Source organism: Homo sapiens, chromosome 1, assembly GCF_000001405.40.
Source record: "Homo sapiens chromosome 1, GRCh38.p14 Primary Assembly".
Classification (NCBI taxonomy): domain Eukaryota; kingdom Metazoa; phylum Chordata; class Mammalia; order Primates; family Hominidae; genus Homo; species Homo sapiens.
In genome coordinates, this window is record NC_000001.11 from 100,692,558 (window position 1) to 100,713,477 (window position 20,920).

The 20,920-nt window shown below is 37.7% G+C and overlaps 1 long non-coding RNA gene across 1 annotated transcript in view, besides 1 other annotated feature; it reads left to right on the forward strand.

The window, feature by feature from the left end:
• LOC124904231 (uncharacterized) overlaps positions 1-13,600 on the forward strand; it is a 49,913-nt gene extending 36,313 nt beyond the window's left edge. The window contains exon 2 of the long non-coding RNA XR_007066256.1: positions 11,728-13,600. This is a non-coding gene — a long non-coding RNA (uncharacterized LOC124904231). The remainder of the gene's footprint in view (positions 1-11,727) is intronic.
• Positions 19,712-20,911: an enhancer, noted in NCBI's record as "BRD4-independent group 4 enhancer chr1:101177825-101179024 (GRCh37/hg19 assembly coordinates)". NCBI's record gives its function as "activates an origin of replication core promoter dependent on BRD2, P300/CBP, MED14 and CDK7 cofactors, and independent of BRD4, by STARR-seq in HCT116 cells {active_cell/tissue: HCT116}" and the evidence as "EXISTENCE:reporter gene assay evidence [ECO:0000049][PMID:35650434]".

The following is a 20,920-nucleotide window of genomic DNA, read 5'->3' on the forward strand; positions in this document are numbered from 1 at the left end:
TCTCCTACCCTCCATAATCCCAATTCTCTTTACTGGTCTGATCTTTTTTATGTCTTTTCTTCTGCTGGATTTTGGTTTGGTTTGTTCTTGTTTCTCTAGTTCCTTGAGGTGTGACATTAGGTTTTCCATTTGTATTCTTTCAGACTTTTTGATGTATGCATTTAATGCTATGAACTTTCCTCTTAGCACTGCTTTTGCTGTATCCCAGAGGCTTTGATTAGTTGGTGTCACTATCATTGTTCCATTCAAAGAATTTTAAAATTTCCATCTTGATTTCACTGTTAATCCAAAAGATCATTCAAGAGCAGATTATTTAATTTCCATGTATTTGTATAGTTTTGAGGGTTCCCTTTGGAGTTCATTTCAAGTTTTATTCTACTGTGGTTTGAGAAGATAACTGATATAATTTTGATTTTCTTAAATGTATTGAGACTTGTCTTGTGACCTATTATATGGTCTATCTTGGAGAAGAATATTCCATGTGCTGACGAGAAGAATGTATATTCTGGAGTTGTTGGCTGGAATGTTCTGTAAATATCCGTGGAGTACATTTGTTCTAGGGTATAGTTTAAGTCCATTGTTTCTTTGTTGACTTTCTGTCTTGATGACCTATCTAGTGCTGTCAGTGGAGTATTGAAGTCTCCCACTATTATTGTATTGGTGTCTATCTAATTTCTTAGGTCTAGTTTTATAAATTTGGGAGCTCCAGTGTTAGATGCGTATATATTTAGGATTGTGATATCTTCCTGTGGGACTACTCCTTTTATCATTGTATAATGTCCTTCTTTGTCTTTTTTTTTTTTTTGCTGCTGTTGTTTTGAAGTCTGTTTTGTTTGATATAATAGAATAGCTACTCCTACTTGCTTTTGGTTTCCATTCACATAGAGTATTTGTCCACACCTTTACCTTAAGTTTATGTGAGCCATGTATTAGGTGAGTTTTTTGAAGACAGCAAATACTTGGTTGGTGGATTTTTATTCATTCTGCCATTCTGTATCTTTTAAGTGGAGCATTTAGGTTAGTATTGAGATTTGAGGTATTGTTCTATTCATCATGTTAGTTGTTGACTAAATACCTTATTTTTTCCATTGTATTAGTATTTTATAGGCCTGTGAGATTTGTGCTTAAGGAGGTTCTATTTTGGTGTATTTTGAAGTTTTGCTCCAAGATTTAGAACTTATTGTAGTATTTCCCATAGCGTTGGTTTGGTAGTGGCAAATTTTCTCAGCATTTGTTTATCTAACAAAGTCTTTATCCCTTCTTCATTTATGAAGCTTAGTTTTGCTGAATATAAAATTCTTAGCTGACAATTATTTTGTTTAAGAGGCTAGAGATAGGACTCTGATTCCTCTGGTTGGTAAAATTTCTGCTGAGAAATCAGCTGTTAATCTGATAGATTTTCTTTTATGGGTTACTTGATGCTTTTGTCTCACAGCTCTTAAGATTATTTTCTTCATCTTGACTTTAGTTAACCTGATAACTATGTGCCTAGGTAATAACCATTTTTATGACGGATTTATCAGGAGTTTTTTGAGCTTCTTGTATTTGGATGTCTAGATCTCTAGCAAGGCCAGGAAAGTTCATCTCAATCATTCTCTCAAATAAATTTTCCAAACTTTTAGATTTCTCTTCTTCCTCAGGAACACTAGGTTTGGCCATTTAACATAATCCCTAATTTTTTGGATACTTTGTTCATTTTTTAAAATTCTTTGTTCTTTGTCTTTCTCTGTTTGGGTTAATTCAAAAGCCTTGTCTTTGAGCTCTGATGTTCTTTCTTCTACTTGTTCTAGTCTATTGTTAAAATTTTTCACTGCATTTTTATTTCCTTAGTGTGTCTTTCATTTCCAGAAGTTTTTTTTTATAATATCTATTTCTCTGGAAATTTTTCATCCATATCCTGTATTGTTTTTGTAATTTCTTTAAGTTGGTTTTCATCTTTTTCTGGTATCTTCTTGAGTAGCTTAATGATCAACCTTCTGAATTCTTTATCTGGCAATTCAGAGATTTCTCCTTTGGTTGGATCCATTGCTGGGGAGTTAGTGTGGCATTTTACAGGCATTATAGAATCCTGTTTTGTTATATTAACAGAATTACTTTTCTGGTTCCTTGTCATTTGGGTAGACTATTTCTTCAGATTATTCTTGAATTTATTTTTGATTTGACTGTGCTTTTTTAAATTTAAGTTTCTTTGCCCCCTCCTTAAGGACTGGACTTTAATGTTTATTTTAGCCTAATTTGATTCTTGGTGCTTATAGGGGTTAAGACTTTGTATGAGTTTCTTAGTTATAGACAGTCTTTGTGCACTGGCTTTCCCTGATGCTGGTTGTAGTAGTTATGTTCTTGATATGTGGGTGAGTTCATTGTCTCCTATAGAGTTGGAATGGCAGAGATCTCTTGAAGCTTATCTCATTCTCTTGTGGTGTACACTTTATTTGTGTGATTCTCTCCCAGTATTTTATTTACAAAGTTGATGATTCAGGCTTCAGGCCAATAGGGGAGGTATCTCCGGGTAGGCATTGGTTGTGGCTAAGGCAGGTGGGTAGATGTAATATCCAAAGGTGGGCCGAGGTCCCAGCCTTGATGAGGGTGGCTAGGGGAGCTCTCAATTACAGAGACTCTTCCTGCTGCTGCTTTTACTTTTATATTTCACACCACCCCCTAAATCCATTCAAGCTCTAGGTAAGGCTAAAGCCTTCTCCCGTGAACTGGATTTTCACATTCCCTAGTGGGGATGTGTGTTCTGAGGCAGGTTCTCCCCCACCTTACACTGTGAACTCACAGTTTTTCATCTGTCTCATGGAGTTTGCAGTGGCATGACACTTCTTTCAAAGGATCTGTGAATTCTTTTGTTTTCCTGGTACATTTCTGCAGTGGTTCTTGGAGCAAAAGTTCACAGTGTGAATCTCCTCATGCTGTTCGGTCTGTCTAAGTGGAAGATGCATGGTAGCCATGTCTCCTACCTGCCATCTTGGAAGGGAATCCTTCTTCTCCTTTTTTATTGCCAAATTTAATATCTAAGACCTTCACCACACCAACAATATAACAGGGTTCTCCTTTCTTCACATCCTCTTCATCATTTGTTATTCCCTGTCTTTTGGATAAAAGCCATTTTAACGGAGGTGAATTGATATCTCACTGTAGTTTTGATTTGCATTTATCTGATTATCAATGACATTGAGCACCTTTTCATATGCTTGTTTGCCATTTGTATGTCTTCTTTTGAGAAACATCTATTCAGATTTTTATCTATTTTTAAATCAGATTATTAGATTTCTTTCCCTATAGAGTTGTTTGAGCTCCTTATATATTGTGGTTATTAGTCCCTTGTCAGATGGGTAGTTTGCAAATGTTTTCTCCTATTCTGTGGGTTGTTTCTTCACTTTGTTAATTGATTCCTTTCCTATACAGAAGATTTTTAACTTGATGTGATTCCATTTGTCCATTTTTCCTTTCATTGTCTGTGCTTGTGGGGTATTACTCAAGAAATCTTTGCACATCCAATGTCCTAAAGAGTTTCCCTAGTGTTTTCTTTTAGCAGTTTCATAGTTTGAGGTCTTAGATTTAAGACTTCTGTTTTTATTTGATTTTTATATATGGTGAAAGATAAGGGTGTAATTTCATTCTTCTGCTTACGAATATACATACAGTTTTCCCAGCACCATTTATTGAAGACACTGTCCTTTCCCCAAAATATGTTTTCGGCACCTTTGTCAAAAATGAGTTCACTGTGGATGTGTAGATTTTTTTCTGGGTTGTCTATTCTGTTCCATTGGTGTATTTGTCTGTTTTTATGCCACTACCATGCTATTTTGGTTGCTATAGCTTTGTAGTATAATTTGAAGTCAGGTAATGTGATGCCTCCAGTTTTGTTAATTGTGGTTAGGACAGATTTGGCTATTGTGTGCCTTTTTTGCTTCCATATAAATCTTAGGATTTTTTTTCTACTTCTGTGAAGAATGTCTTTGGTATTTTGATAGGGATTGAATTGAATCTGTAGATTGCTTTAGGTAGTATGAACATTTTAACAATATTTATTCTTCCAATTCCTGAACATGGAATATCTTTCCATTTTTTTGTGTCCTCTTCAATTTCTTGCAGCAGTGTATTATAGTTTTCACTGTAGAGATATTTCACTACTTTGGTTAAGTTGATTCCTAGGTATTTTATTATAGTTCTAACTATTGTAAATGAGATTATTTTCTTAATTTCTTTTTCAGATTGTTTACTTTTGGCATATAGACATGCTACTGATTTTTATATGTTGATTTTGTATGCTGCAACTTTACCAAATTCATCAGGTCTCGTAGATTTTTTTGGTGGAGTCTTTAGGTTTAGGTTTTTCCAAATATAAGATCATATCATCTTCAAACAAGGATAACTTTTTTCCTTTCCAATTTGGATGCCCTTTATTTTTTTTCTCTTGTCTAATTGCTTTAGCTAGGACTTCCAGTACTATGTTGAATAACAGTGGTGAAAGTGGGTATTCCTGTCATGTTCTGGATCTCAGAGGGAAGGCTATCAGTTGTTCCCCATTCAGTATGATACTAGCTGTGGGTCTGATGTATATGGCATTTATTGTGTTGAGGTGTGTTCCTTGTATACCAAGTTTTTTGACGGTTTTTTTTAAATCATGAAGGGATATTGAATATTATCAAATGCTTGGATATAGTTTCTCCCTTGCAGTTCTAACAGATTTTGCTACATGTAATTTTGAAGCTCTGTTATTATGTGCATAGACATTTAGGAATGTTATGTTCTCTTCATGAATTGCTTTTTTATCATTAGGAATGAATTTCTTTACTCATTGTAATATTCTTTTCTCTGAAACCTACTTTGACTAATTTAGTATAACTACTCTTAATTTCTATTTATGTTCACATAGTATTGTTTCTGTATCCTTTTATAAAATAATTTCAACTTTTATTTTAGATTCAGGGGTTACATGTGCAGCAAATTCCATGATGTAGAGGTTTGAGATACAAATGATTCCATCAACCAGACAGTAAGCATAGTACCCAACAGTTAGTTTTTCAACCCTTGCCACCCTCCTTCCCTCTTCACTCTAGTAGTCCTCAGTGTCTACTGTTGCCATCTTTATGTTCACAAGTACCCATTGGGTACTTACGCTTACATGCGAGAACATGTGCTATTTGGTTTTCTGTTCCTTCATTAATTTAGGATAATGGCCTCCAGCAGTATCCATGTTGTTGCAAAGGACATGATTTCATTCTTTTTTATGGCTGTGTAATATTCTTTAGTGTCTATGTATCACATTTTAAAAAAATCAATCCACCATTGACGGGTACCTAGGTTGGTTCCATGTCTTTGTTATGGTGTAAGGATGAACATATGAGAGCGTGTGTCTTTATGGTAGAATGATTTTCTTTTGGATATATACCCAGTAATGGGATTGCTGGGTCAAATGGTAGTTCTTTTTTCAGTTCCTTGAGAAATCTCCAAACTGCTTTCCACAATGGCTGAACTAATTTGCCTTTCCATCAACAGTGTACAAACATTCTTTTTTCTCCACAGCCTCATCAGCATCAGTTATTTTTTGACTTTTTAATAATAGCCATTCTGACTGGTGTAAGATGATATTTCATTGTGCTTTTGATATGCATTTCTCTGATGATCAGTGATGATGGGCATTTTTTCAGGTTTTTTTGGTCACTTGTATGTCTTCTTTTGAGGTGTCTGTTCATGTCCTTTGCCCACTTCTAATGGAATTTTTTGTTTTTTGCTTGTTGAATTAAGTTTCTTGTAGATTCTGGATATTTGACCTTTGTTGGATATATAGTTTGTGAATATTTTCTCCCATCCTATAGGCTGTTTGTTTAGTCTATTGATAGTTTATTTCACTGCACAAAAGATCTTTAATTTAATTATGCTGGGTGTGGTGGCTCATGCCTGTAATTCCAGCCCTTTGGGAGGTGGAGGCAGAGGCAGGGGGATCATTTGACCCCAGGAGTTCGAGACCAGCCTGGACAACATGGTGAAAGCCCATCTTAAAAAACAAAAAACAAACAAAAAAGATATTTAGTTTAATTAGGTCCCACTCGTCAATTTTTATTTTTGTTGCAATTGCCTTTTTTGTATTATTTTACTCTTCACTTATTTTTGGGTTTATATTTAAAATAGATTCCTCAATGGTGGCATATGTTTTGGTCTTTTTTCTATATTCTACAGCAATTTTTCTTTTTTTTCTATAGCAATTCTACAAAAGACTTGCAAAAATAATACAGAGTTTTAATATACCCTTCAGTTTCCCATATGTTAACATATTATATAACTGTACATCATTTATTAAAATTAAGAAATTAACTTTGGATCTGTGATTTTTACAGTTTTAATCAAATTTGGAATAAATTAGCCATTTTTTTCAAATATTTTTTATGTTGCATCCTTCTGTCTCCTTTTCCAAAGGAGAGGTATTCCATTAACATGTATATACTAGGCTGCTTGAAGTTATCCTTACTACCTACTAGTTCTTCATTCTCATTTTTTAGTCCTCTCTGCCCCCTGTTTCTCTTTGGAAAACTTCTACTTATTTGTCTTCAAATCTACTAACCTTTTCTTCTGCATTGTCTAATTTGTCATTAATTCCATCCAGTGCATTTTGCATCCCACACATTATAATTTTTCTCTCTAGAAGTTTCTTTTGGTTCATTTTTATCCCTTCCAGGTCTTTATTTAACAGGTCCATTATTTTTCCTAACTTTTAAACATACAGAATATGATTATAACAATTTTTTTAACATTTGCTAGGCAGGACCAGAGCATCTTTTCTAGAGTAATTACTCATCACTACTAAGGCAAGACATGTCTGAATACTCTTCCTAATGTCCCATTAAGTAAAAAACTTTTCAGCATGGCAGCACTCATCCCATATTTGTGTAATCTCTGGTTATTGGTCTCTTTAATTTTTTCAGGTGCTTCCTTTCTCACCTCAGGTAACTTACTCACACACGTGTACTGATCAGTACTGTGATGAATACTCAATAGGGTCCCTCTTCAGACATCTAGGTTCTTTCTTTGGACAGAGCTCTCTCCTCTGGTACTCTGCTATAGGAACTCTAAACACCTTGCTCTCCCAGGACTCTCACCTCTGTCTAGGAAATTTTCTGAGCTCTGCTTGGGTTCCCTTTCCCTGTGCCAAGGCCTGAAAACTCTTTCAACTCAGCAGCTGGGGCAATCTCAGGGTTTACCAGGTTTGTTTCCCATATCTTAGGGATCACTGTCACTCATTATCTGATTCCAATGTCCTGAAAACCATTGTTTCATACACTTTTTTTTCCAGATTTTGGTCTCAAGACAGGAAGTTAAATCTGGCCCTTGTTACTTCATCTTGGTTAGAAATAGAAGTCCCAATGACTCAACCTTTCTAAAAGAATAAATATTTATACTTCTGACAGAATGCAGTAGAAATGAGACTCTTGAGAGTTAAATATCCATGGGTTTCATTGCATTTCAGTATGTCTTTCAAGCAGAGAAACTGAACACCGTTGTTTTGGACTATCTTTTGAAGAATATTTGTATAACCAATGACTTAAAAGATACAATAGTGTTTCCCTCTGTAACAAAGGGCAGGCTTGCTTAAAGATTGGAAAATATAGTGTCTCTCTCCAGAGCAAAGGACAAGCATGCTTACTTTCCAGTATCATATATTTGGGCTTCCTAAGCTCAACGCGCCTCTCCTATAATGCAACCCAGTGTGTAGGAAGTTATCACTTGGTCCTGTTTGCATCACCCTGTCAGAATTTGGGCTCAAGGAATTGATGGAATAAAATAATTATTTCTCATCTGTGGCTGTTTCTGTGAATCATAAACTATCCTTTGTCTCTGACCCAGGAACCTTGAGTTTTCTGCTAACATCCATGAACCTGTGACAGGCTAACATGTTAGCTTGCAAGTAGGGTAAAATCTCATATCCTTCATAGTTCTTAACAGTCAAGACAGAGTAAGATAGATTAAAAAGCAGTACAACGTATGCCTGGCTTTCTGCCTTGAAGCATGTGCCTTGGCAGTACTAAGTCAATATGTTACACGTTCGGCTAGCTTAAAGTTGCTGGGTTGTAGAGATCCTATGGAGAGTATATTTGGGATACTTAGGGAACCCTGGCTCTTCCAATCACCAGCTGATGGAGTCTTCTCAGCCCATGAGGAAATGGGCTTTCAGTTCATTCTAAATACAAGCCTTTGAGCCACACTGCGAAGGGGAGCAGAGATGAGTCGTCCTCTTAACCCTGCCTCATTTGCAGATTAGTGGGCAAAATAAATGCTGTGGTTATTTTAAGCCACTACATTTTGGGGTGATTTATTATACAGTCCTAGATACCTGAAACACCATGTATTTAATAGCATCCTCTGGATTTCTTGCTCTTCTTGGTAGAGCACTTTCTCCAAGAGTTTTTTAAAGAGATTCTTGTGAAGCCAACTTCTGAGATATTTTACACCTAAAATGCATTTATTTTTCTATCACATTTAAATTATAGCTTAGTTGGCAGTAAAATATCTTTTCCTTCAAATCAATATCTATTGTTTTCTTGTGTCCAAGTTGCTGTTGTAAAATTTGATATTGGTTTAATACCTGTTTCTTTAGAGGTGATCTGTTGTTTATCCCGATAACATTAAATGATTTTTTTTTTGCATTTTAGTTTTAAAAGTATTTTATCATAGGATATATAAGTAAAGGATTTTTCTTATTTGTACTATTTTTGTACTTTATGAGCCTTTAATTCCAAGGTCTTACATCTTTCTCTAATTCTTGGAACTTCTTGGTCTTTTATTCCTCCAAAATTTTCTTTACTTTTATTTTTTATTGTGACTCCCATATGAATGTTTTTCTTCTGATTTTATCCTTCACATCTCTTACATTTTACATTTTCCACAACTTTATCTTTCTGGTGCCTTCACAGAGAGATTTTACTCTCATCTTCCAGCTCACTAATTGTTCTTTAGCCATATCTATTCTTCTGTCATAGAATGTACTGGGTTCTTTATTTCAAATTTTATGTTTCCACTACATTATTTCTACTTGGTTATGCTATGGAATTGCTTGTTCTCCCTTTACGTCACCAATATCTCCCTCATCTTTTTGATGGTTATAAATCTCAGGGTTTACTATGTTTGCATTCTGTATCTCAGTAGTCACTGCCACTCATTATCTGATTCCAAAGTCTTGAAAACCATTGTTCATTATATTTTGCCCAGTGTTAATCATTTTAAATCACTTTCTCTCTGGTTTATTAGGCCAGATTTTCCAGGTATAGCTTTTCCAGTTTGTTTTTTAATGCTGGTATGGAAGTCAGATGTCTTATTAGTTTGCCTATGAGCTCATATTCACCTGCATGTATCAGTTAACTTTTAAGAAGGGGTTAAATTCCAGGCTGTAACTCTGAACTTTTTGGTAAGTTTAAGGAATAGGGGTAGGGTCAGGAAGTCAGCACAAGAGGGGAATTGAGATGCTTCTATTACTTCTTTGCTATCCCTCTTTCCCCCAAAACAGTTTATCTTGTTCTCCAGCAAATGCTGTCCTGTCTTCCTCTAGGGGACTGTGCTCTCTAAAAGCTTTTTCTTTCGCTTAGTGAAATGTTAGATCTCTGTATCAGTTTAAGAAGAATCACTAGAAGAAAAATCCATCTATTTCTTTATATTAAGAGATTTGTTAGGGGATTCAAACCTACACGTTGAATGAGCTGGTTAAACAGTCTCTGTAGGGCAGCTGTCTTCCTGTCTGATGCCTGAGTTTGAAGTTTGCAGGGAAGGCAATCAGAAAGGAAAAATGGATGTAAAGTTAGGGAGAGCGAGGAAAAACTAGAACACATGAGCATGAGTGGTAACCCACAGTGATGGACTGGAACTCACACCAGTTCTCACTGCCTTCAACCTTGAAGTAGGAAGAAGCTGAAACCCTTCATCATGGAGCTAAACGCATTTGGACCATGAGTCAGAGAAGGTGAAGGAGGGTGCAGGTCAAGTTGGACCTTTTGCATCTCCATGAAATAAGCCAGCAAAATGACAATGTGCATGAGTTTCAGAAGTTCCTGGTTATCATGCCCTGTGTTACTGGGGATTAAATACAAACACACACAGAACAAAAAGAAACCGGGCACTGTGGCTCACACCTTTAATCCCAGCACTTTGGGAGGCTGAGGCAGGCAGATCACGAGGAGGTCAGGAGTTTGAGATCAGCCTGGCCAACATGGTGAAACCCTGTCTCTACTAAAAACACAAAAATTAGCTGGGTGTGGTGGCGCACACCTGTAATCCCAGTTACTCAAGAGGCTGAGGCAGGAGAATTGCATGAACCCAGGAGGCAGAGGTTGCAGTGAGCCGAGGTCATGCCACTGCACTCCAGCCTGGCTGACAGAGAGAGACTCTGTCTCAAAAAGCAAGCAAGCAAGCAAACAAACAAACAAACAAACAAAACCAGCCTGAGTGCTACTTCACTTTCATTCTCCAATATTGCACAAAAAAAGTCTTTAACCCTAACTAGAAATACAAGGAAAGGAATCCTTGGAAATTCAGCTCAGCCTAGCCAAGTTGACATATTACAAAGCCACCACAACCTCAGCATATAAAAGGAGAGGAGAGGGAAGGGGAAGAAGGAACTCTTAGGGGGCTGCTGTTCTGCCTGCATCTGTTATTACCTGCTTCTCCCCCAGCTGGGTTCTGGCACTAGCACACTGTTATCCTGTTGTTTCTGGCTAGCACTGCCTTGGCCTGGTTTTTCTGTCCTGCAGTGGTAACACGGCAAATAGGGAAAGCTCTTCTAATGCAATAAAGAGGAAAAGAAAATAACTGCAAATTTCTTCCTCTGCTTATTTCTCGGCCATATTATCCAGCTTTCTTCTACTCTTTATTGGTGCTTTCCCAATCTTACCCAACCCCAGTCATCTCCATTAGCTGCTACACAACTGCCTTTCAACTGGGGCCTCTAATTCTTATGCTGATGTTTCGGCTCCATCTTCTTCCCCATCACATGTGCGGTGACATTAAAGTTGGTGGGAAAAAGCTAGCAGCCCACATACTTGCTGTCATGTCAGTTGTAATAACATTGTAAATGTAGATTTTGTATTTCATTGTAAGAAATTATTAAAGTGATATAAAGAAAATAATGAAAGAAATGAATGACATTTTCGATTATGTCGCTTAGCTTTTCTGGAGATTTGTTTGGCACAGTTCTTTTCTGACAAATCTGCCTGAGGGGTAAGGGTCAAGCAAGATTATACTTTGAAACACAGGATTCTGAAGAATTGTGTATTTTTGGCCCATATACCAGAATCGGAATGCATTTAAGGAAACCTGGTTGTCTCAATTGTTCCTAAAAGTGACAAGGGAAGGCTATAGCATGACTAACAGCTGCTCTTATTATTTTGGAATGTAATTTGTCTGCCCAATTCTTCCCTTTGACTCTATAAATTGCAGCAATATTTCCTTAGAAACTCAAAGGAAAAAACATCCTTCTTGTAATGCTGACTTGTGGCTGGTTAGAACAACTGGCAGCATCCAGCCTGGCCAACACTTTTCTGTGTGTCTCGGAGATAAATTTTCCAGGGCCCTGCGATACTAAGACACAGGAAATCCAGGCAAATGATATAGACTAAATTTTATTCTTATTTTGACATCACAACAGAACTTAAACTCCTACAAATAACTGCAAAGAAATTCAATCACTAATTCAGTATACAAGAAATAATGATGTCTTAAAATTATTTATTTTTTCAGCACCTGACAATTCAATATGTGGATCCTTCTTGGAAGTAACAGAGCATGCTGGCCAAAGAGTTACTGCAAAAATGCTCCTAAATCAAGTAAACAAGGAAAAGAACAGGAGCTGATAATGCTGTTGTTTGTTAATGCTCTTATTGTAAACTACTTTTTGGAAGATAAACCTTTTGTGGGAAGGCCAGGTACTAGGCTCCTTCATTGCCTTAGATGATCCAAGAGACTGAGTAATCAAGATGGAGCAAAGAGCAAGAAGAGTGTCTGCAACACTTTTAACTTCACAAAGAAGTTACCAGGCAGAAGGGGACAATTGCAGTGACTGATTTTCCTGACAAAATGACAGTGTCTTGACAATGGCTATGAAGTCTTGATGACCCTTAACATCTCATAGAACAAAGAAGTCAGTAGAGCAAGGTGAAAATGTTAAAGGAGGAATACAAGAAACACAAAAGAAAGATGACAGGGTGACAAGTTAAACATAATCCACGGAATAAGAAACGTCAGAAGCCTCCTCCGCAGTACACCTACAAACACCTGCCCTTTTGTTAATAGATAAAAGAGAGCCTCTCACTGTAACTCCTTAACTTCCTTGGTGGAGGGAAATCAGATGGCTAGAAAGTGTGGTGGTGCCTGGTGTGAAAGACTTAACTGGGCAACACATCCAGCAAGCTGTATTTAACCTTCATCAGTCTTTTATTTGTACCCCCTAAATCCTGGTTATTGAAGTCTTCCAACTCCACCTCATCTCTCCTTTTATTGTCCCACTCATAAAATCTCATAGGAGTAAATAGATTAGACATATTTACTGATTAGGGCAGACATATTCCTCATATGTACTGAGGAAGAGTGATAGGGGGATCACCTTGGCCTGAAACCCTCTATCAGGAGCCAATTTTCAAGAAGATAAGAAAATAATCAGCCACTTGTGATCTTCTTTCCTTAATTATATGAGATCCTATCCAAATTTTCAATCCACTGTCACTGACCTCTGAGGACCTTTGATGCCTTTGACCTGGCTCTAGTGGAGTACCTTCCATTCTTCCAAATAGTCCCCCCATTTGCCTTGGCCTTAAATTCCACCATGAAGGGGGAGTCTTTTATTTTAAGCATTTCTTTTTATCTAATAATAAAAGATAGAGGAAATAAGATAGTGGGATTCGAAATAACGTAACACAAATTAATTATTCATATCAGTTTCTCTACTAGAGGAAATGCAATAGTTGATTAAGGATCAGAGGAAGGAAAATCCTTCAATGAAACATTGAAAGAAAGCTGAAGAATTTGTAGTGAGAGAAAACAATTATCTTAACAAACATTTTTATATTATAATTCTTTTTCCCTTCTGGACATCAGATGCAGATAATTGAGTTCGTGATTCAATTCGTGGGTCATTATCATCACTGGCCGCAGCAAGGCTTTATTTGTAAAAATTTTTTTCCATTTTATTTCCGTTCCTCATTCCCATTCCACCTCCCCACAGGTAGCTCTTCTAATATATTAAATGTGTACCTTTTTGTTTGCATGTGTTCTTGCAAAATGCATATTTTTGTGTACATCAAATTTACATAAATAATATCACATCATAAAATTCAATCCATTTTAGATTTTATTTTCCTTGGACCATATTTTAAGAGCCATGCATGTTGCTGTGTGTACATATAATCCCTTGCCTCTAACCACTACACAATGTGCACATTTTCCCTACATACTCTCCCAGTGATGTTGACCAATATTACCTCCAGTTATCGCACCCCAAATGATGCTGAAACCAATATACATGTACATGACCCTTATGGAACTGTGTGAGAATTACTTTGAACTCTATGTGCAAGAGCAAAATTGCTGTTAATAAAGTTAAAATACACTTAAACTATTCTAGTTTTTGTTCCACTTTTTCTTATAGATGAAATATATGTGAGGCTGTCATTATTATTATTATCATCACATTTTGTAAGTGAATAAACGGAAGGGTCACACATTAAGTGAGATACTACAGTCACTCAGTGAATACAGAGTAGACCCTAGGTATATACTTTACTTTTCTGACTACAGCATTCTTCACTGTTTATACCACATCACATTGTCTCCACAAACTTGTCTTACCCTGAAATTGAGAAATGTTGAGATTAGATTAATTGCATTGTTTTCCTGGGGGCTAACATTCGCCTTTGGGAATATGGTATAAGTAGCTACTCACAGAGCTAAGCTAATGATGTGGGAGATACAAGTTCCCTGTTGGCTGACAGCAACTCTGGTGGCCTCATTTAACTGTTTTCTGGTGAACCAGAAATAGTACCTCTGCATTGAAATCAAGGGCAAGCAAATGCCTGCAACCTATTAGCACAGGACATACAGGTATATTTCCAAGATGACTGGTTCCTGCAGGTCCATTAAAGCAAGGGCAATACAGCTTTTTAATTCATATCTCTTGTATGTCTGACATATGGAGGCCTGAAAAAATGACTATGGGCTTCTGAAAGGGGAGAGTAGGTTTCAATCTGCTGGGAAAAGAAAATGAGGTAAAGACACCTTATAATGATTCCTCAAAAATATTCGATAAACATTCAATGATAACCAATATGAGAACTAAAACAATCATATTTTGTAGTTCACATAATCATCATATAAGCTTTGTTTTGTTTGTTTTTAATATTATTCCAGATAAAGCCCCTACATTCTTCTGATACTGTCACATAGCAGCCTCAGGGCCACATTGTGATATCTCTCTTATCAACACAAGGTTCTCAGTCCTTGAGAAAACCTGATACAGTCATTCCAGACATTCTCATACAGACATTTCTGTCTTTTACAAGGGCCTTGAACTTTGATGCTGAATCAAAGAATCTGCTTACAAGGGAGAATGCATCCTGTTAATCAGGATGGAAACTAGTTTCGTAAAGAGCAATGATTGATCTTAACTTAGGAAAAGGGAAAGAAAACTCTTCTTAAAGTATGTGTGTTTGGGAAGTGGGAGATTTTCATACTGTAAGCTTTTACCTAAAAGATACTGATCCCCTCCCCCAGTGAATTTTGTTACAACTGCCCTCCACCTCATCCTGTGACTTTTAGGACAATCAGCCTTACAGACAATGGCAATGTCACCAGCTACTTGAGCAAATGTCTTTACAGACTTTGTAAAACAAGTATTAGGAAACTGACTTAACTGAGGGGACAGATTAGGATTTTAGAAAAAAAAATTCTTGTAGGTTCCCTCAATTGCCATGATATTTTTATTTTTCAAAAAGTAGGAGAGTATATTAGTTTACTGGAAAAACAGTGAGCTAATTGTAGGCCAGAGGCCTGGGCTCAAGCTGCCCTCTCTGCTGCAAATAACCATACATATTTGGGAACATGATAACTACTCTGGGCTTTAGATGGATAGACAAAGGCCAAGATATTGCCCAGTTCAAAAACTATTAGCCTATTAAACCTAGAGGAAATAAACAAACTACAATGAGACCCTACAATATGACGCCCCTGATTGCCCTCATTTTCTAATTCTCTGGATCAAGAACATTTCCAAAAGGCAGCACACTATTATTAACAAAAAGTTATTGATGATAGTACTCACACCTGATTACCACTCTGTGGTTGGAATTACAAGACAGTGATTTTTCAGATCCCTTCCTACACAAACATCTCATTTACAGCCTTGGACTTTTACCCAGCAGACCTCATGATAGTCTTTCCGGATTCACTGCTTGGAAGATGAGTTACATGGTGCAATTATTTCTCAGTTTTTGTCCAGTGTGCTAATCTGAAAACAAGGTGCAGTGGTTATTATTTGAAAACACTTGAGAGCAACAATGAGAAGAAAACAAAATGACTAGACTCCGTCATTTCTCCTGCAGAATCTCAAGAGACATGGAAAATGTCAGGCTGTGTGGTACCTGCTGGCTTGTGAAGATCATTGTCATCTCAAACAAAGATGACCTCAGCCCTGGGATGGAGAAGACAATAGAACCCCCTGAATGGTAGATGCCTGAATCCATCAAATGGGGAAATCTTTTAAGTTAAACTGTTTACTTACATGTTAACATCCAGCACTTCTCCTTATTTATTTTTTTCCTTTCGGATTTTAAAAAGCCTGCCTGGGGAAATTTTAGAAAATATTTGGAATGTCCATAAGTACAACGCAATATTTGTGTTACAATTTCCTTTTTGAGCATTTTAATCACTTAGTATTTATCCTATTTATCCTGGCTCAAAGGCTTCAAAAACAGGATATTTTCCTTAAGTCCCATTTTAACTGTAAAGTGGCAAATTGCAAGCAAGCTTTTAGAATTTTTTATATGGAAGTCTTGGAATTTCCACAGCTTATGTTCTGAGCCAACAAAAATATACAGAGATAGAAAGCAGGGAATTTTTGAATCTAGTTGGCTTACTTCACAACATTACTTTTTTTGCAGATATATTTGCTTAACAGGGCAATGAATTTTAAGTATGATTTGGGAATGGAAAGTTGGTTTTTATAAATTCAGAGGAAAAAATGGTAAAAATAGTTTGCATTGATGATACCATATCAAAGGAAATGACGATGCCTAAGTTAAGTACAAAGCTTTCCTGGACAACCACCAGTACAGGAAGACTCAAAAAGGTCTGGGGTTGAGCTGAGTTGAGACTGTTTTGAAAGTAGTCAGTGTGCTAGAATGGAAAGAGCACTCAATGTAGAATCAGGAAACTTAACCTCTAGTCCTAGTTTTCTTATTACCTAGCTGTGTGGCTTCGAGTAGGTCAATTAACCTTTCTGACCCTCAGTTTCCTCATCCTTTTAATGACAATTAAAAAAAATACTCACCTGGCATATTTCCTAGGATTGTTAAAAGGCTCACATACGATAAACTATATTAAATAATTTTTAAAGTTATGAAGCACATTACTGATGTGAGATATCTTTATAACATCTTTCTATAATTCAGTTAATCTTTGAACACCCAATGTTTAAATTGGATATAATGGCAAGATTAACTGGGACATTTTTCTTTGTCAGGACATGGTGGTGTTTATATCATAACAATTTATTTATACTCTAATAAGTCTATCTTACTAGCTTTTTGGAGTAGGTTCTGCTATAGGATGTAAGAGGAGCTTACTGAGTTCCTGTTATTTCTGTTAAGACTACCCTCCTGTCTTCTGCTCTTCTTCCAAAGCTCAGTGAGCTCCTGGAAAGATCACCCCTCCACTGCTGGTCTTACCACTGCAAATTGCCTGTGAATTTGCCTATGAAGCCATACCCAGAAGATGGTGATCTGCTCTCAGATCATTCTCTAACAGATGATCAGGACTAATCCCATCTTTCTTCACATCTCTCTCAATAAGTCCAAACTTCTGGATTCATTATCAATATATCTCCATACGTTCCTTATTCTGAGCCAATTCTGGGTCTCTCAAGACTTTCATTGTGCCCTCTAGAATCGTCTGCAAAATCCCTGATATTGTCTACCTTCATTAAGCCTTTATCTTTTTATCCTAATGGAAGACTGGGTTGGTAAATAACACTATATCTGAGACTCGTCAGATGGTGACCCTACATGCCACAGAGCCTGGAAGTCAGATTAGGAATCCTTCTTCTTGTGGCCACTTCCAAAACATTTTCCCGCTCCACTGCTGTCCAAATCTTATCTCCGTTAGCCTCCTGGTATCTTCTGGTGACACTACATCATTCTTTAATGACTATTTATTTCGCACCATCCATATTGTTTATTGTAGGCTACTAACTACGTCCTGCCTCTTTCTTTTAATAGACTGAGGAGGGGGAGGTTCTGAAAGAGGCTTGTCGTCTTCTTGTTCAACCATTTTGTACTTCCACCCGGGGTTTGTTTCCCTCTCCTTTCCAATTTACCCTCCCTCTGCTAGTTCCTTTGCTCCCAATGTTTCTCTGTTCAGTTTCACTAGAATGTGAACTCCATGAAAGCTGGAATATTGTTTGCTTTGTCATCATTGTATTCCTGAGCACCTAGCAGTGGTTGGCACACAGGAGGTACTAAAAAAATATTCATTTTGTCACCAACCTTAACATAGAGGGAAATAGACATGTCCATGTCTAGGGACTCAGATAGAAACACTGGAACATACAAAGTAAATTCAAGAGGCTAGATCCTGCAGCCAACAGCAGAAAGTCTGTCTAAAGCATAAAAAAGCAAATAGCAATGACCTGAAGACATGAAATAAGATTTCCATGAAGCTCCTACTAAGAACAGGTGCTTTGTTAGAACACCTGTGTTCGTTTTCTTGTAGTTATAATACCTGGCTTCACAGATATTTGGCCAATTTGTCTATGGTTCTTCAATTACTCATTATTAGCTCAGAAATAATACTGATTCAAGGGAAGGACTTTAGTGACCATCTAGCCTGCCTTCTTCTGCTTTGCAGGTGAGAAAACTTAAACCCTAAAAGTAAAGAGTTTTACCTCAGATTACCCTTTTATTTACAGAATAGAGATAAGAACCTAGGTTCCTTTACTTCTGACTACTTCTGTTTTCTTTTTCTTTTCATTTTTTTTGAGACAGAGCCTTACTCTGTCACTCAGGCTGGAGTGTAGTGACATGATTTCAGCTCACTGCAACCTCCGCTTCTTGGGTTCAAGTGATTCTCATGACTCAGCCACCTGAGTAGCTGGTACTACAGGTGCACACCACCATGCCCAGCTAATTTTGTGTGTGTGTGTGTGTGTGTCTGTGTGTATACAAGAGACAGGGTTTCACCAGGCTGGTGTTGAATTCCTGACCTCAAGTGATCTGCCTGCTTCAGCCTCCCAAAGTACTAGGATTACAGTCATGAGCCACCATGTCTGGCCTACTTCTGCTTTCTTAATGGTACCCTGCAAGTGTCAAAATGTCTTAAACAGTTTAACAGTACAATGCTGACCTACAATTCTTGAAAGGCTTCTAGGTTCCAAAAGGAAATCTTATGTGTTGCTTATGAAAATTGTAATTTTAATTTAACATATAACTAAAAAATCATCATGTTTATGTTATAGTCAAATGGGAAAAGTATTTATTTTACTTGTTTGACATACCAAACTCTGAGCTTTGTACATTATGAGATAATTCCCAAATTACGAGTCATTTATAAATAAATATAATACATTTGTTTAGAGTAATTTTCTATCATGTTCTTTGCTCCTTTTCTTCCTCATGTATTTACTTGTTCCCTATCTACCAAAAGCTCATGAAATGTCCAAGTCTTCTCTCAAAAATGTAAACAGATGTTTTGCAATCATTTTAGAATGGGAGGGGCCTGAATACTTTTTAACCTCCTCAGCTCTTTTGTGTTGCAAATGAGTTATAGAGGTGAATCCATGTGGGGCCAGAAAGTATGGTGGGATGGGCATATAGGGCTGTTTTCCAAGGATATTGCACTTGGACTGAATGAAGGCATCCATAAGAACATGAAGAGGAGGAATGTTTTGGTACTCAGGGCTCTGTATTAGTCCATTTTCACACCGCTATGAAGAAATACCTGAAACTGGGTAATTTATAAAGAAAAGAGGTTTAATTGACTCAGTTTTACAAGGCTGGGGAGGCCTCAGGAAATTTACAATCATGGCAGAAGGGGAAGCAAACACATGCTTCTTTGCATGGTGGCAGGAAGGAGAAGTGCAGAGTGAAGGGGGTAAAAGTTCCTTATAAAACCGTCAGATCTTGTAAAAACAGTGTCATGAGAACAGCATGGGAGGACCACCCCCATGATCTAATCACCTCTCACAAGGTCCCTCCCCCAACATGTGGGGATTACAATTACGATTACAATTTAAGATGAGATTTGAGTGGGGACACAAAGCCAGACCATATCAGGCTCCATTAATGTTCCTTCTAAGCACCAGCGAGTGGCACAGGGAATTCCCTTTTTGGAGTTACAGTCTTAGGCCCCTAGAGTGAATTTGGACAAGGTGTTTCCATATTGTCTACTCATCCCTTTCCTTCTTGGACTCCTAAAGCAGATTCTGAACGCTCATCATAAAATGTCCCGGTATTTAATATTCAAAAATCGCCCTGAAAGTTGTGATAAGAAGCTTATAGTCATCAAGTTGAGGAGAAGTGGATGCAGTCTCCTGGGTCATTGTCATATTCAAAGTGTCAGATTGGAATGAGACCTTATGGGCATCTGGGTTCTCTAAGTGACAGCATTAATACTTGAAGGGAAGGTGCATCTCTCCCACAAACACTGAGGTGATTTGGCATAGTGCACCAAGTAGAGAAGTGAGAATGAGATGAGCTGGGGTAAAGATCCAATTCTTGCCACTAGCTGCGTGAGCTTGCTCAAGTAACCAAATTTCTTTGGGCCTCTGTTTCCTGATCAACACTGTGAAGATAAGAGCATCCACATTACCTCTCGCATAGGGTTGCTGTGAGGCTCACAGGCCATAATCCTGAGGCACTTTGTAAGAGGTGAAGAGGCTGGGCTTCTGGGTTGGGTGGGGACTTGGAGAACTTTTCTGTCTAGCTAAAGGATTGTAAACACACCAATCAGTGCTCTGTGTCTAGCTAAAGGTTTGTAAACACACCAATCAGCACTCTGTAAAAACGTACCAATCAGCACTCTGTCTAGCTAAAGGTTTGTAAAAGCACCAATCAGCACTCTGTAAAAACGGACCAATCAGCACTCTGTAAAATGGATCAATCAGCAGAATGTCGGCAGGGCCAAATAAGGTAATAAAAGCTGACCACCAGAGCCAGCAGCAGCAACCTGCTTGGGTCTGCTTCCACCTGTGGAAGCTTTGTTGTTTCACTCTTTGCAATAAATCTTGCTACTCACTCTTTGGGTCTGCACTACCTTTAACACTCACTGCGAAGGTCTGCAGCTTCACTCCTGAAGCCAGAATGACCACGAACCCACGAGGAGGAACACACAACTCCGGACGCGCCACCTTTAAGAGCTGTTAACACTCACTGCAAAGGTCTGTGGCTTCACCCCTGAAGTCAGCGAGATGACGTCAGCGAGACCACAAACCCACTGCGAGGAACGAACAACTCTGGACGCACCACCTTTGAGAGCTGTAACACTCACTGCGAAGGTCTGCAGCTTCACTTCTGAAGTCAGCAAGACCACGAACCCACCAGAAAAAAGAAACTCCAGACACACCATCTTTAAGAACTGTAACACTCACCACGAGGGTCTGTGGCTTCATTCTTGAAGTCAGTGAGACCAAGAACCCACCAGAAGGAACCACTTCCGGACACATTTGGACAAC